Below are 16,385 nucleotides of genomic sequence, written 5' to 3'. Positions count from 1 at the left end.
TCCTTTCTGGACTGGGAAATGGGATATTATGGTACTCTCCTTTTTTGTTTGTTTGGTTTTTGTATTTTTTGTTTTTTTGAGACAAGTCTTGCTCCGTTGCCCAGGCTAGAGTGCAGTGGCGCGATCTCAGCTCATTGCAACCTCCGCCTCCCAGGTTCAAGAGATTCTTGTGCCTCAGCCTCCTAAGTAGCTGGAATTACAGGCACACACCAATATGCTCAGATAATTTTTTGTAGTTTTAGTAGAGATGGGGTTTTGCCATGTTCGCCATGTTGGACAAGCTGGTCTTGAACTCCTGGCCTCAAGTGATCTGCCCGCCTTGGCCTCCCAAAGTGCTGGGATTACAGGTGCGAGCCACCACGCCTGGCCAATATTATGGTACTTTCCAAAGGAGATTTGAGGAACAGAATTCTGACATTTCCTCTCTCCTCTGGGCTAAGCACTACCTTTTTCTAAGGTACAAATACCCTTAGGAGGGAAGAAACACTTTTAGACTCTCACATCTTAAGTGAAAAATATTTTTCCTTGACTTCATGAGGCTGTATAAGAGCCTGAAGCTCCTTGTGGCTTTCGAGTTGGAGCTCAAAGCAAGTCCTGGAAAACTGAAGACAACAGACAGTACTTGGCTCCCTTCACCACACTGCCACAGAGGTCCATGATCTCAGTGTTCTTTTCTGACTCCTTAAAGCTGCTCCTTAAAATAGGCAATGCCCTCATCAGGCCCCCAGGAGAGCAAGGGGCCAGGCTGGTTGAGGACAGATGCCAGACTTCCCAATGTTATTCTTCCAAAGCGGAGGCTAGGGAGGGGTACAAATATTTTTCGCAGAACTGAGGTTGAGCAATGGCTACAGGAAGCCCTGAGAGTACAGAATGTTCCCATGCATGGGAAAGCTCCTGCGTTTCCCCTCTAGCCAGCAAAGCTTCTAGCCACCGCTATTCCAGAGGACCACGGCCCCTGTTTTTATGTCTGAGCTTCAGAGAAACCCCACCTTCCCAGAGAATCAGTTCTGTGGCAGCATCTACTCCCAAGGCACTAAGCCTCAGCAGAGTCATATGATATACAATGACCTACTTGGTTCTCTGCCCAGGCAGCCATCCGCCCACCACCTCCAGCCCCAGCTGCACCCAGGCTGAGATTAGTCTTTTAAAGTGAGGGTTGAAGGAGCCTTCCTTGGCCACTCGAGGACTTAAGCTTTTACATCGTTGGTGGGAATGTAAATTAGTACAACTTCTACAGAAAACAATATAAAGATTTCTCAAAGAACTAAAAGTAGAACTACCATATGACCCAGCAATACCATTACTGAGTATCTACTCAAAGGAAAATAAATCATCATATTAAAAGACACCCGTACTCATATGTTTATTGCAGCACTACTCAGAGTAGCAAAGTCATGGAATCAACCTAAGTATCCATCAGTGGATGACTGGATGAAGAAAATATATATAGCATACACCATGGAATACAACGCAGTCATTAAAAAAATAAAATCATGTCTTTTGCAGCAACAAAGATGGAGCTGGAGGCCATTATCCTAACTGAAGTAACTCAGAAACAGAAAATCAAATACTGCATTTGTCACTTATAAGTGGGAGCCAAATAATGGGTACACATAGACATAAAGATGGAAACAATAGACACTGGAGACTCCAAAAGAGGGGAGGATGAGAGGGGGATGAGGGCTGAAAAATTACCTATTGGATATGATGCTCATTATTTTGGCGATGGAACACTAGAACCCCAAACTTCACCATTACATAATGTACATAATTCGTGTAACAAATCTGTACATGAATCCCCTCAATCTATTAAACAAACAAACAGAAATATGGCATCTGTTAGAGCTGCTCTGACCTTCTTGTGTCCCAGTTCTGGGAAGCTGGCACCAGCTGTATGCCTGAAATACAACTCCAATCCTGCACCCCAGTTACAGGAATTGAGCTGTACACTGTGGCCAGCCCCTGAGTTCCTACCCTGGTACCCAGAAGGGCCTGCCTTTATTCTTGCCCTGCTTTTGGGCCTCTCTGTCACCACCTGCTTGCGTTCATGTATCCCCATTACCCTCTCTACCTACAGCTGGAGGAGCCCATCCATTTTCTCTTGTAGGGGCTACCTAAGCTCACTCCCCACCCGGATGGACATCTCTTTTTCTGTCTTCTTTCTTGATCTTCAGAATGGACAAGCTCGTATTTCCTGTTGTTAGGTCCCAGACACCTCCAGTCTGGCCTTTCCTGTCACCAATCCAGTTCCTGTTGGACACTGGAAGCCTGTCAGGTTACTGTAGATTGAGGTGGAGAAGAGAGTGAGGTGAAGACTCTTCTTGGAACAAGACTGATGTCTGAAAACCTGAAGCCATAATGAGCTCCTGGGAAGAATAACACTTGTTGAAACCATTTCCCGCCGCCCCCTCTCCCAGCTCCGCCACTTTCCAGTCTGGAATTCTCATTACCTCTCTCACAAAATTCTGTGAGTATGACAACATCACATCTATGAGGCATCGAGCATACCACCTGGCATGTAAGTGCTCAATAATTGCTAATTTTCTTCCACCCACCATGTCTCTTCCAGCCCTAGGTTTTTCTATCAGACTTAGGAGTTCCCAGGAATGAGGAATATAGAAAGAATACAGGATGGAGAGTCAAGTGATCTCACATAGAAGACAGGGCTCTGCCACAACTCACTAGGGGAATCTAAGCAAATCAATGTAAAATGGAAGGCTGAACTACATCAGACATTTTCAAGTCTGTTTGTTTGTTTTAAAGCAATGGAACTCTGTTTTCCAAGGGAAATGTATGCAGGATAAAAGCACAGAGCTGCACTGGCTGAAGGGGTTGGGGGAAATAATCCTATAAGGAATCCAGTTATGTCTAAGTGAGCTCTCAGTCTGTGAAGCTTCAGGTTGTTTTCTCTACCACTGGACTAAGCTCAGCGAGAAGCTGGCTTTCTCTCTCTTTTCTACTATTTCTGCACAACTCACATCATTAAATTCTGTATACCATACATAGCACTGCTATCTCACTCCAACACCTGACTTAGAAACCACCTCTTTGGGCCAGAGGTAGTAACTCTGGAGACAGTCACAATGATCCTGAGGACAGAAAGACCCTTACCGGACAACCTTTGTGCCATTCCGGAGAACCTGCATATCCACAGCATAGGTGCCATCTGCATGGGCCACCAGGTTGAGCTCTGAAAATTCTGCCTGGAAAATAATAACAGGGGAATAAGTTCACAATCCTGACTTCACCAAGTCCTCTACATAGCAGCAGCAACATCCCTACCACCAAACATTTATATACAGTTTTCAAAACATGTTCACATACTGAGTTAGTCTAATTCTAATAGCAACACTGTGATGAAGGTGGGACAGAGATAATTATCCCCATTTACCAAAGGAGGAAATTGAGGCTCAGAGCAGTTAAGTAACTTTTCAGGACAAACAAAACTTATCATTGGCAGAGAAAGGAGCAAAACTCAGGTCCTCTAACTCCCAGCCCAGCATCCTTTGTGCTGCCTCTCTACAGAGCGAGAATGTGGACTGAGACAAATGTCTTTTTATCAGTTTCAACATAAAAGCACTAGGTCTAAATTTAGGTAACTAGTTTTTAGTTCTGCTTTCCCCTTACCTAGCTGCATAAAACATTAAGCAAGTTACTTGTACTCTCTAGGTTTCCATTTCCCTGATCTACAAAATGGGAATAATTTTTATCAATCTTGCCTATGTAACAAGTTGTTTGAAAACAGTCAGTAAGTCATAACACACTGTATAATGAATGATGAGAAACTTCTTTTATCACATAGGAAATACATGCATTGTTGAAACTGAACGTCCTCCTCTTCCCCAAATGGACCCAATCACTATTTATTATGAAGCAAAGGATGGAGGAAGGTTAAAAAAAAAAAAAAAATTGGACTTTCAGTGATTCACTGTATTAAAACAAGGAAGTGTTCTTTTCTAAGTTTCCTCTAAAGTATAGCCTCAGGCCCAAAGGAGCCATCACTCGGGGCAGCATACCTGAAAGGCAGACATGTGCCTACCGAGAAATATCTTGCCACCAACAATACGGAGGTAACGTGCAATATTCTGGGAAGCCCTCTAAAGTTTTCCTCAGTCTGGGAACCTTACACTGCAAGAGGGTGCTAAGAACCAAACTGCTTGCTCATCTACAGACACTAGAGCCATAAAAAGGAATCAGAGAAATGAAAAGATGCAGACTCCAGGACCATGCCTCACAGACAGAAAGGTCCTGGGGAAAGGATAGGAGAGAGAGGAGATGCAGAGTCCAGAACCCAATGATGGACACAGTATTCCACTCAGCAGAACGAGATGGTTCACTCTGGCATGTCAAGAGGAAACTGTGATGACGGGGATGCAGCTCTGGGCTTCAGGCTGATTACCTGTTCCACCTTGATATCATAATCTCCAAGGACTTTTTTGCCCCGAAAGCACTTGGCCCTGGAGAAAAGAATAAACCCACACAAATTAGTTTTGTGCAAGTATTTAAAGTCAGACATTTACTATTACAAAGAAGAGGACCACAGCAGACAGATCTCCAGAATGAGGGTCAAGAGACCTGGGTTCTGATCCACATTCTGCTATGAGATCACCACAAGACAAACCATTTCCTCTCTTTTAACCTCAATTTACCCATCTATAAAATAATCCAAAACATCCCTTCATTATCAGGTTTTGTTATAACATCTCTGGTCTTTTGGCTATAAAACGCATCTAGAAATAGGAATTTCCCCAGTTTTATTCTTCATAAAGGCTAGATCAGCTTTATACATCTCTGCAGTTTCCTTATTTTCCTTGATCCTTCGTTTTACTATGGTTTTCTATTTGGTATCCACCCTTGGATTTTTAGTTTTTAAAGAAACTGTTATTATCACTTTACTTCTTCATACCCATACAAAGAGGACCTGAGGCAATTAGTAATTTAAAAATATAACCAACAAAATAAGGATTAAAGAACAATCAATGAATGAGAGGAAATTAATTAGACCAAAATAGAAGGTAGCGGGAAAAGACTGAGGGAAGCCATTGCATTTGAACACAAAACTTAGCCCACATTTCTGAGCAGTCAAGAAAATGGGTCAAGGTGAGTTACACAGTACATAGTATCTTCCCAGTTTGTCACAGATCTAGAGGAACCTCACATTAATGCATTAATTAATCCCCTGTAATAAGTAATTAATCCCTTATAAGCAGATATTTTTATGCTTATATTTATATTAATTCCTACTTTGCTTCTAACCTGCCCTCCCCACATTAGATTTCCTTATCTGTCCTTTTAGGCTGGTTCTCCATTTGTCAAAAGGGCCTTTCCATACTCTACCTGTTAGGTAAGTTGAGCTTGCTTTTCCAGTGCTTGAAATTTCCAACTGTAATATTTCATTGGAGATTTTTTGGGAGTTTGTCCCCAAAATGAAGGAATAAACCAATATTTATTGGGCATCATGTTCTAGGAATTACATGCAAGTTGTTTTCAAGAACATCTCATTTAGTCCTAACAACGTATAAGATACAGAGAAAGGGCTTCATTTCAGAGACAAGGAAACCAAGATTCAGAATTGAAAATGGTGTATTCAAGGCCCTATAGCAAGTTAGTGGCAGAGCCAGTATTCACATCTAAGTCTGTGGCACTCTGAGACCACTGCCCTTCACACTGCAGGCACTGTCTCCCCCTGGTGATCTATTCTCTCCATCTCTGCTCACACCACTACAAAAACGGACTTGCCCTGTGTGTGCCGCATTGCATTTATTCCCATTTTCCTTCTTCCACTCACAAGGGACTTAATGATGTGAGCATTAGTCCCACTACAAATACTTCCTACCCTGGTTCCTGTCAACTACCCGGGACGAGGCCAGGCTGTTTCCTTTTCTCTATGGGTTCTGGAACACCCCGTTCTAGGAAGTTGTCATTTGTCCTATCCAAGTCCCTGGCCACCCTCAAATTGCTCCTCTGAGGCACTCAGCCATCCTGGAGCTGGACCACTTAAGTCCACCCCCCACCTCTGCCCCAATTTCTTATTAAGCTTCACACCAGCTTGTTTCCAGGACCCTGATCAACATTCACAGCTCAGCGAGCCCCTCAGGCAGGGGCCCGGTAGTATATTCCCTTTCTTTGGCTACTATTCCATTTTATTTACAGGTTTAACTAATAGAGTCTAGTATGGCACTATCACTTCTCTGCAGACCTTGGACTCTGCAGGTTTTTGTCCATGACTATAAAAAGAAGGAACTGGAGTGAATGACCCATGAGATCCCTTTCTTTCATTGGTGAGGTATGTCTACCTTGTTATCAGCAATGCTTTTCTGATGCTTCCTCCTATTTTCCTGTCTCAAAATAGCTCTCCTTCTGTGAGGTAAATCTCAGAGACATTAACAATAACCTCGCATTTCGTATGATGCCTTGCATTTGCAAAGCATGTTCCTTGCCCTAGTTGTTCCTCACAACTCTGTGAAGGAGCCAAGAGAGATAATGTGGTCCATTTGGCTGATGGGGAAACTGAAGCCCAGGACAATTAAATAACATGCCCAAATCAGAAAGAAAAGTTCATGGGAGTTAAGGCTAGAACTAAGAGTTTACATCTAGGTGCTTACATGCTGCCAAGTTTCTTAATTCACTCATTTATTTTGTGGGTTTTGAACACTGATATTGAAATATATTTATAGACTCTGGCTGGGTTTATCTGCCACTTCCTGCACCTGCCCATTGACCAAGTTGGCTAATGAACTGTTTTCATGCCTTCCCTCCACCCCCACCTCTCTAGCTATCCTAATGCCTTTTCCTTAAGGTAATTTGTCCTGTTGGAAATCTTAGTGTGTGTTTCCTGGCCCAGGGTCACTGACCTGTCTTGGCTGAGCCACAACCTTATAGAAAAGGAGCCAAGATGGCCGGCAGATGGGGCACAGAGCCCTCTTCTGGAGAATGAGCACATTCTTGCAGCTCCAGGCTCTTGGACATTTTGATTCTAGGTATTTTCATGAAAAATTGTGTAACTTGCTAGCAAATGATAGAAGTCTTTCCTGATACTAAGAGAACACTAGTACAGGGCAGTGTGCTAGAATCCAGAGGATGGGCTCTGGAATCACAATCTGGGGTGTGAATTCTAGCTGTACCCTTTCCTGGTTGTATGACCTTAGGGAGGCTTAAATTTTTTAAAAATAGTATATCATGTGGTTAAACCAATCAATCAATCTATCTTTAAAATTATATAAAAGGATAAAACAAAAAGTAAAATGTTCTTTTTTCCCATTCCTCTCTTATCACATATACTTCCCATTATCAATTATAAGCATATACTTCCAGTGGAGGGGAAAAAATGTGTGGCTATACCTGCATACATATATGCTTCAAACACATACATATGGCATGCTACATAAATTTTTTTAAACTTTTGTTTTTTGCACTTAAAAATATATCTTAGTGATATGCTTTCAGCACATATTGATGGGCCTCTTCCTTTTTAATAGTTGCATGAAATTCCATTTGAAGGACATACAGTATTTTATTGGTAAACATGTATTGGCATTGGCATTATATATTGGTGAGCACATTAGATTTCTAGTTTCTTGCTTTTGGTATTACAAACAGTGCTACAATGGCTTACATTTAAAAATATATCCACAGGATGAATAATTTATGACAGAAGTGCTGGTACAAGGAACAGACACAGTTACGGTTTTTACTAATATTCCCAAACTGTCCCCCACCCAAGAAAAAGATGATACCACTCTTACCAGCATTTGAAAGTCTGGGAAAACTACTCTACTTCCCTTAGTTTTCCCACACAGTCCCTTGCATAAGATAGGAACAGATAAGATGCCCAGTACGGACTTTTTTTTTTTTTTTTTTGAGACAGGATCTTGCTCTGTTGCGCGGGCTAGAGTGCAGTGGTGCAATCATAGCTCACTGTAGCCTCGACTGCCTGAGCTCCAGTGATCCTCCTGCCTCAGCCTCCAGAGTAACTGGAACTACAGGCACATGCCACCACGCCAGGCTAATTTTTAAATTTTTTTTGTACAGACAAGGTTTCACTATGTTGTCCAGGCTGTTCTTGAACCCCTGGGCTCAAGCAATCCTCCTGCCTTGGACTCTGAAAGTGCTGGGATGATAGGAGTGAGTCACCATGCCCCACCAATATGAACTTTCTGATTGGCAGTCTTGTCACATAAATCTAAATTCATCCCCTTGTGCTCAATCCTAAACAGAACCCAACATGTACATCCTTGAAACACAGACTAAAAATATCTGTAGTGCCTGTGTTGTCAATTTCCCCCTATTGTAACATTTTTCTTAACAAGCCTAGCAGCTGAGGATCTATGTAAGTTTAATGGCTTGCAGCTTCCTTGATGGACCAGGTAATGAACCATCTCCCCTTATTGCTAAAATGAGCAGAAGCTTCTAGATTTAACTCTTGTTACTCAAGGAAGTGAATACCTTCATCAATTCCCATCCACCTAACAACTAGGGCTTGTGAGGCTGAGGAATATGATTTCAGAGACTTCTCTCCTAACGCCCCCACAAAACTTGGCCCAACCCAGGCAAGCCTAGCTTAAATACGCCCTCTTTTATGCATTGGATAATGGAGAAAGAGTTCTAGAAATAGAAGCCAGGGAAGCTAGGTTCAGGCCTACTTCTACCACTTTTCAGCTGTGTGACTTTGGGCAAATAATGCGTCTCTGAGTCTTAGTTGTGTCATTTATAAAATAGGGCTAATGGTGATCTTAATAGTGAACACCTGTGATGTACTAGGCACTATTCTAAGTGTTTTATGTATTTTACCTCATTTAATAATGTTTGGCTCACAGGTGGTTGTGAAGATTTAATGAAATCAGATGACATGAAAGTTTTGGAAATGCTGAAATTTATGCAAATATGAAGCACTGTTAGCAAAAAGCAGCAAACATTTATGCTATTTTAATATGACTACAGCCAACATGGCTTCTTCCTTTTCTGAACTTTCATCACATTTATTGTCTGCTCATGATATTTGGCTCACAGCATCATCATCTGATACCACCTTTCAAAGTCGGTTGTCTAATAATCAGACACTGCTCCCCCACCTACGCCTCAGACCACTAGATTATGTAACAATGCTTCAGAGCAGGGATGATCCATATGTGAGTCTTGGATTTTTCAGAAAATTTTTGATTTTAAATACTGATTATGTCTTATTGTTTGATTATATGCTCTAGGCCTGTACAAATATAATCATTATATCCATAAATTTCCAAATCCTTCACAGAGCTGTGACTTAGTGGCCTCACAATCAGGACTTGCTTATTGACTGGGATGTTAGGAGTGGTGGTTTGGGCTGGACCACTGGAGAAAACCAGAAGACAGCACCCTCAGGACAGAGCCTATTTCTGCAGGCCCTGCCATCTTCTTCTCACATGTGTCAATCCTGAGGGTCAAGTTCTTTCCTTCCTCTCCTCCTCCACATGAAAATCTGTTTTCAATCTCTGTCTATATTGGAGCTAATGGACCTGAAAGAGCCTAGAGTATAAATCCTCCCAGGATGACTGGAATTTGCATAAGGATCAAATCTCAGGCTAGAAGATGACAGCACTGAAGATGGATTCACATACTCCAGAAGGCATTTAGGGAGGAAAAGACTTCCCAGAGCTCTGTAAACAGTCCAGCACCTAGTAAATATCTAGCACTGGTCTAGACATTTACCTTTAACAAGGTGCTAGTTTCTAGCTCTTACTGACTCTGACTCAGGCCTTGTTCTTTCAACCAAACATCTGAAGGCTTCAAGAAGTTAGAAAATAAACTAGAAATAGTAGGAGATTCCTATTTCCCCACCTACACTGTTAGGGTAAAAATCATGCCTTCCTGTCCTGGTGCAAGTTTGTGAGCGCCGGCCGCCACCCACTGGCAAGATGAGTACTGCAGCTGATTGCAGTCACAGCTCACCACTCACTGCACTGGCTGAATAGCCACAGACTCTACTGGCACAGGGGTATCCCTCCAGCTGCTTATTTGCTGCTCTGAAAAACCATACCCAAACATTAACTGTCTCTTCTAACAAGTATGCATCCACTTCCCTCCCTCAAAGAAGCTGGATAGCTGGCTTTTGCAACTTGTAGAAAGAAACGCCGTGGTTTGTCACTAAATTCAGCAAAAATTTACTGAGCATCCAGTGGTAGGTGCTGGAACTATAAAAATTGGCAACCATTAGTGATAACAAAGTACAGAAAGCAGAGTCTACAAAAGGACGCCAATATCTACATGGGGGTCACTGCTAAGTTCCCACTCAACTCTTCAGATTTACATCTAGCACTCACATTTCTACCTTTTAATCTTTTCCTTTAAAAAAAAATTTAAGCACACAACTAAAACAATAATAAAAGTTTCATATAGTCCAGGAGGATGTACAGTGGAAAGCAAGTTTCCTCTACCTCATAAGTCAGTGGAGAGACAGAAACAAAAATAAAAGATTATAATTCAGGGTATCAACTGCAGTAGACATACAAGCACAGCATTATGGGAACCCAAAGGAGGGAGCCATTCTCCCTGCCTGGAGAAGTCCATGAATGCTCCAAAGAGACTGAACTGAGTCTTAAAGAATGAGTAGGAATTAGCCACATAGGAAGGAAGATGCAGAATTGAAATGTAAGGGCAAACGCACAGAAGCTTGGGTGAGGCTCTGGGCACTACAGGGGCCCAGCACACTGCTGGCTGAACAGTGAAGACCAGAGGTTCCCAAGGCAGGGAAGTGGCAGAGCAAAGGGCTTTAAATGTCAGGTGGAGTCTCTGGAACTTGAGGGCTAATCTCCAAATGATTTTTTACAACTTTTCACTGCAGAAATATCCACAATAATCATCAACATTTTACCAATCTTTTTCATCTATTACCCTCACTGTTTTTGTTGTTGAGACTACGGTTTGAGTATTTTAAAGTAAGTCCCAAACATCATGTCATTTATCCTGTCAATTTTTAAGCATTCTGTTAATGACTGTTATTTTTATGATTTACAGTGGCAAAACAGACATAACAACATTTTCCATTTTAACCACTTTTACGTATACACTTCAATGGTATTCACAATGTCGTGCAACCACCACCACTATCTATTTTTCAAAACTTTTCATCATCCCAAACAAAAACTCTGTAGCCAATAAGCAATAAGTGCCCATTCCCCTCTCCCCTCAGTCCCAGGTAATCTCTAATCTACTTCATCTGTATTAATTTGCCAATATTCTAGGATAATGACTTTTAAAATATAAGTGCCATGCCATTGTCTCACCAAACAAAATTAATTTTATTAACATCTTTACTGAGTCTGTATTCAAGTTTTCCCAACTGTCTCAGAAAATACTGAAAGATTTTAAGCAGAGAGATCATACAGTCAGATATGCCTAAGATCTGAGAGGCTGCTTTCTCTGGAATGTGGAGAAGACTGAAGGGAATGAATCAGTGCTTAAGATCATTTCAGAAGCCAGTGTAGTAATTAGACTTCAGAATTTTCTATTTTACTGGCACTTGGCAGGCCAATACCTATTGCACAGCATTCACCTGACAATTCAATTAATCACTTGATTGATTAGGTCTAGGAGCTTAGTAGCTAGCTGGGAAATGACAACGACATTTAAAAAATCAGATTTAATGAAATGACATAACACTTTATAGAACTCCCACTGTAGATGTTCTGGAACAGAGACATAAATAAGACCTCAAACAGTCAGGCTTTACATTGAAGGGGTTCTCAACTCAAATTTGGATTTGTTATCTAATTTATGGACCATAAAACTTTCAGTACCTGGAGAAATTTCTGTTATGGATCATTGGTTTGGTTCAGAATAAGAAACAAAGAACAGGAAGACATGAATACTTTCCCAGATAAAGGCAACATTCTGTGGCTGGTCCTTGATATTAATTCACTGATTAAATTGTTATATCAAATGCTCTGCAAGTAAGGCACTTCTTAGATAGAGAGCAAGCTGCATGGTGTCTTAGTTAACATTCATATAAATGATGTGGAAGAGAGTGCATGGGGAAATTGCCAAGGTTACAGATGGCATTCAGCTCTTCCAGGGATTAAAATGCCAAGATGATTAGGGGTAAACTGAAAGAAGATGTGGACGTGGGCAGAAAAGTGGCAGAGGAGTTTTAATGTGCCTAAGTGTAAGAAAACACATTCAGGGGAAATAATCTTATCAGAGGATCATGAACTGGAATGCTCAACTACAATCTGGTAAAGGAACCTGGAATGACAGAAAATTGTTTCCTGAAGACAGTCCTGTGAGCTGTAACAGGCAAAAACCAAAAAGATAGAATGAAAGGTAAAAAAATGTTAGTTATCACTAGAAAGCTTATGGAAACCCAACATAAAGGGCTACTCATGCCCTAACCCCATCTTGTACAAGCTGTAATGCTTTCCTATTTATGATACAGCATATTAGGTCCACTTATCTGGACAAAAGTGACATGATGAAAGTAGAAATGGTCCAGAGAAAAACAGAACAAAATGAAATGACTCTGATTTTAGTAAAGCTAAAATAATGAGTCGTCTTCAGTCTGTAAAGATACAAAGGCAACACATGGGTGTGGAGGAGGAGGGAAAGAAAAAACAAACACTGAGTGACCCTACACAAATCAAATCACTCATCTCAGATCACCCAAATTAATCCTCACAATATGCCTCTTACAAGAATGTCATCTTAATGTTACTGGTTTTATAGAAAAATGAGGCTCAGATGAATTAACTGACTTGCTTAAAGGTAGCAGTTAGAAGGTGGCAGAGCTAGTCAAATTAAATTCCAACTCTTTTGATGATCAAGTTTAGAGACCATATACTTCCTTAGGTGAGGACTCTGCTCTACTCATTTTGTGTTACCAAAGCCTGTCCTACTGTTTGACACATGAAATGTTTATAGAGTTACTGAACACAGCTAGATATCTGAAGGTTAATATCAGAGGACAGCTGAGTGCTATGGCATGTGCCTGCAGTCCAAACTACCTGGGAGGCTGAGGCTGGAGGATCACTTGAGCCCAGGAGTTCGAGTGCAGCCTGGCCAACATGGTGAAACCCTGTCTCAAAAAAAAAAAGAAAAAAAAAGAAAAAAAAGAAAAAGAAAAGAAAGGAAAAAAAAGAAAAAGAAAAAGAAAAAAATCAGAGAGAGCAACCAGGCTCAATCTAATACAGAGTCCTAGGCTTGAAGACCTCTGTGAATGCCTTCTCTGGAGTTTATGAAATTTCATCAGGTGATCTGTGGGAGGCTTCAACAGCCTTATGTGGCAGATGAGATCTCTTAAGAAAAGCAGCAATCCCAAAGATCTGAAAATAACTAATTTCTGTGTAAACATCCCAGCTGTGATTTCAGTTGGGAACAGCAAATCACTTTTTCTGAATAGATTTTCTGAAGATCTCTATTTTGGGGAATAATTAAATGATGCAGTATCACAAGATAACAAGATTATCAAATACAGGAAAAAAAAAAAGAATCCTGTAACTCAGGAGAACACATGACGGGAAGATTAGATGCATTTGTCTGTAATTATAGTGGAGCTACAGAACAGAATGCTTTGGAGTCATGGGACAGATTTTCTTTCCATGACTGACTTATAAAATTAAATCAGGCTGATTTGATATTGGAGCAAAGTGGGTCAGTTATCAAGTTTGCTTTGAAGAGCAGGCAAATATAATTTTGAAGATTTGGCTTTATTTTATGCCAGATATGTAAGGCTCCTAGCATCTTGAATACTGCAGGTCTACCTCCACTGTACGGTCACGAATCACACCCACAGTCACCGCTGTCACCAGAGCTGCAGGTTCCCATCCTTTGGTAGCAGTCTAGATACAAGGAAATGTCCTCCATGATTTGGTCTCACCCTTCTGTTTGCAACTAGTATCTCTTCTTTTAAGTCTGCTTCAGTGTCTCCATAGGAATTAGAAAAAGGCACCTCTTCCTCAGGATGCCTGCAGGACACACTCCTGCACCAGGGCACTTGGATTGGTGAGTGGAATGTGGGGCTGCATCCCAGCCCCTACTTGTCTCCTCAGATAGATGTCCTTGTACAGTGAACAACCTGCATAAGCATATGCAGGAGCCCTGCCCTACTCCTTCTATAATTCAGACAGTTTCCCAGCCCCTGTGCCTTGGACCACTGTGAAATCACCCCTGCCATAATTCTTCAAGGTCCAAAACAAGTTCTGCCTCCTTAGGAAATCTTCCCTGACCTCCTCTCCTGCAGTAGTTTCTCCTCCTTCTGGAAGCCTAGTCCGAATGAAACCTGTTGATTTGTCACTTTAAACAGACAGTCTAGTATCATCAGCTGATTTTTAATTTGTGTCTCTTTTCTCCTCTGTATCAGAAGCCCCCTGATAGTGCATACTGTCTTATACATCCTTCCTATTCTCCAACAACTCAACCTCACACTCACCACTGCCTTATACAAAGCACATCTATGACAGTTAATTTTATGTGTTAACTTGATTAGGCCACAGGTGCCCAGATATTTGTTTAAACATTATTTCTAAATGTGTTTGTGAGGGTGTTGCTGGATGAGATTAACATTTGAATGAGTAGACTGAGTCAAGCAGATTGCCCTCCCCACTGAGGATGGACATCATTTAACCCACTGAAGGTCTGATTAGAACAAAAATGTGGAGTACAGGAGAATTTGCTCTTTCTCCCTGTCTTCAAGCAAGGACATAGCTTTTCTCCTGCCTTTGGACTCAGATTGAAACTTATACCATTGGCTCTCCCAGTTCTCAGACCTTCAGACTTGGACTGGAACTATCATTAGCTCTCCTGGGTTTCCCATTTGCCCACTGCAGATCTTGGGACTTCTCAGCCTCATAACTGTGAAAGCCAATTCTTTATAACACACACACATGCACACACACACACACGCACACAGAGATGCATACACATCTCTCTGTGTATATATGTACAGACACACATATACCTATGTATACTCACACACACATATATATATGTACACACACACACACACACTTGGGCTGCTATATCAAAATGCCATAGACTGGCTGGCTTAAACAACATTTATTTCTCACAGATCTGGAGGCTAGAAAGTCCAGATCAAGGTGCCAGCAGATTCAGTTCCTGGTGAGGGCACTCTTCCTGGTTTGCAGCTGCCTTCTCTGTGTCCTCACATGTGAAGGACAGTGAGCAAGCCGTGGTCTCTCTTCTTATGAGGACACTAACACCATCGTGAGGGCCCCGCTCTCATGACCTCATCTCAACCTAATCACCTCCCAAAGGCCCCACCTCCAAATACCATCATATTAGAGGTTAGGGCTTCAACATATAAATTTGGGGGACACAAACATTCAGCCCATAACAACACTCTCAGTAAAGACCTATTTCTTGATTCCCAGCAGAAGACACCTGCCCACCTGGGACTTAAGGGAACAAGGAACCATAATACACAAAACAATATCACACAAAAATACACAATACCATATGTTTATCAGATGACAAAAACAAATAGCCATTTACATCTTCTGGCTGGGGTATACACACTCCCTGAATCAAAAAGAAGGAAGAGTGCCCTCCCCACCATGTTACACAGAAAAAATTCTTTATGCCTTCTCATTTTGCACGAAATTTTGCATTTTCATCAACTGCTGAGTGGCACAGTGGAAAGAGTGTGAATTTTAGAGCTAGACTAATCTGGGTTTAAATCTCAGGTCCTCTACTTGCTGTCTGAACTTGGGCTCTTTTACTTCCTTGTTTCTTCATCTATAAGGTAAGGACAGTACCCATTTCCAAAGTTTGTTAGAATTAAATGACTCTGCCTTTAATGTATTCCTGAAACATTATCTGTCCTCTTGGGCTTTTGTACGACTTTCCCTCAGATTTTTGCATGTCCTGCTTCTTTTTTAATGTGTAAGTCTCAGCTCACATATTCCCTCCTATGTTTCTACTGACTATCTGAACAAAAGTAGTTTCCTCTGTGCCCCCTCCATCATTCTCTATATTATCTTCATAATATTCATTATTTCTATTTTGAAATCTTTTATTATTCATTTTATTCTTATTTCTATTTTGAAATTTTTTATGATTCATTTTATTATTCTTCGTTATTTCTATTTTGAAATTTTTTCAACTACTTATTATCCATCTGCCCAACCAAAATGTAAGCTCCATGAGAATAGCGACCTTGTGGTGGTAGCCACTGTATCAATCTCATGCCCAGCTCTGTTACAATGCCTGGTACATGTTAGTGCTCTAATGTTTGTTGAATGAGTAAATGAGAATGTAAAGTATCAAGTGCACCACAGCCACACATTTCAGGGGTTTTTTTCCTCCTCTTTTTATGTAAAAACCACTGGGTTAAAAAAAACTTTCCTGCGTGAGTTCTTTGAAATGGAGAGCATTTCAACAAAATGAATTCATTCTTT

At 41.2% G+C, this 16,385-nt stretch overlaps 1 protein-coding gene across 3 annotated transcripts in view, besides 2 other annotated features; it reads right to left on the bottom strand.

Annotated features, from left to right (window-relative positions):
- Nucleotides 1-16,385, bottom strand: part of SYN2 (synapsin II) — a 187,645-nt gene that overhangs the window by 46,925 nt on the left and 124,335 nt on the right. For all 3 annotated transcript variants that reach the window (NM_133625.6, NM_003178.6, XM_006713311.4), the window contains exons 2-3: nt 4,400-4,457; nt 3,112-3,203 (exon numbers count right to left, since the gene is read on the bottom strand). In NM_133625.6, the coding sequence (NP_598328.1) occupies nt 3,112-3,203; nt 4,400-4,457 (150 nt within the window). The remainder of the gene's footprint in view (nt 1-3,111; nt 3,204-4,399; nt 4,458-16,385) is intronic.
- Nucleotides 6,900-7,009: an enhancer, noted in NCBI's record as "active region_19435". NCBI's record gives its function as "activates an Ori minimal core promoter by ATAC-STARR-seq in GM12878 lymphoblastoid cells {active_cell/tissue: GM12878}" and the evidence as "EXISTENCE:reporter gene assay evidence [ECO:0000049][PMID:35858748]".
- Nucleotides 9,725-10,019: a silencer, noted in NCBI's record as "tiled region #15359; K562 Repressive non-DNase unmatched - State 12:CtcfO". NCBI's record gives its function as "represses a minimal TATA promoter and a strong SV40 promoter by Sharpr-MPRA in K562 cells {active_cell/tissue: K562}" and the evidence as "EXISTENCE:reporter gene assay evidence [ECO:0000049][PMID:27701403]".

The sequence above is a fragment of the Homo sapiens genome, chromosome 3 (genome assembly GCF_000001405.40).
Source record: "Homo sapiens chromosome 3, GRCh38.p14 Primary Assembly".
Lineage (NCBI taxonomy): Eukaryota > Metazoa > Chordata > Mammalia > Primates > Hominidae > Homo > Homo sapiens.
This window is presented reverse-complemented; position numbering and strand designations above follow the sequence as displayed.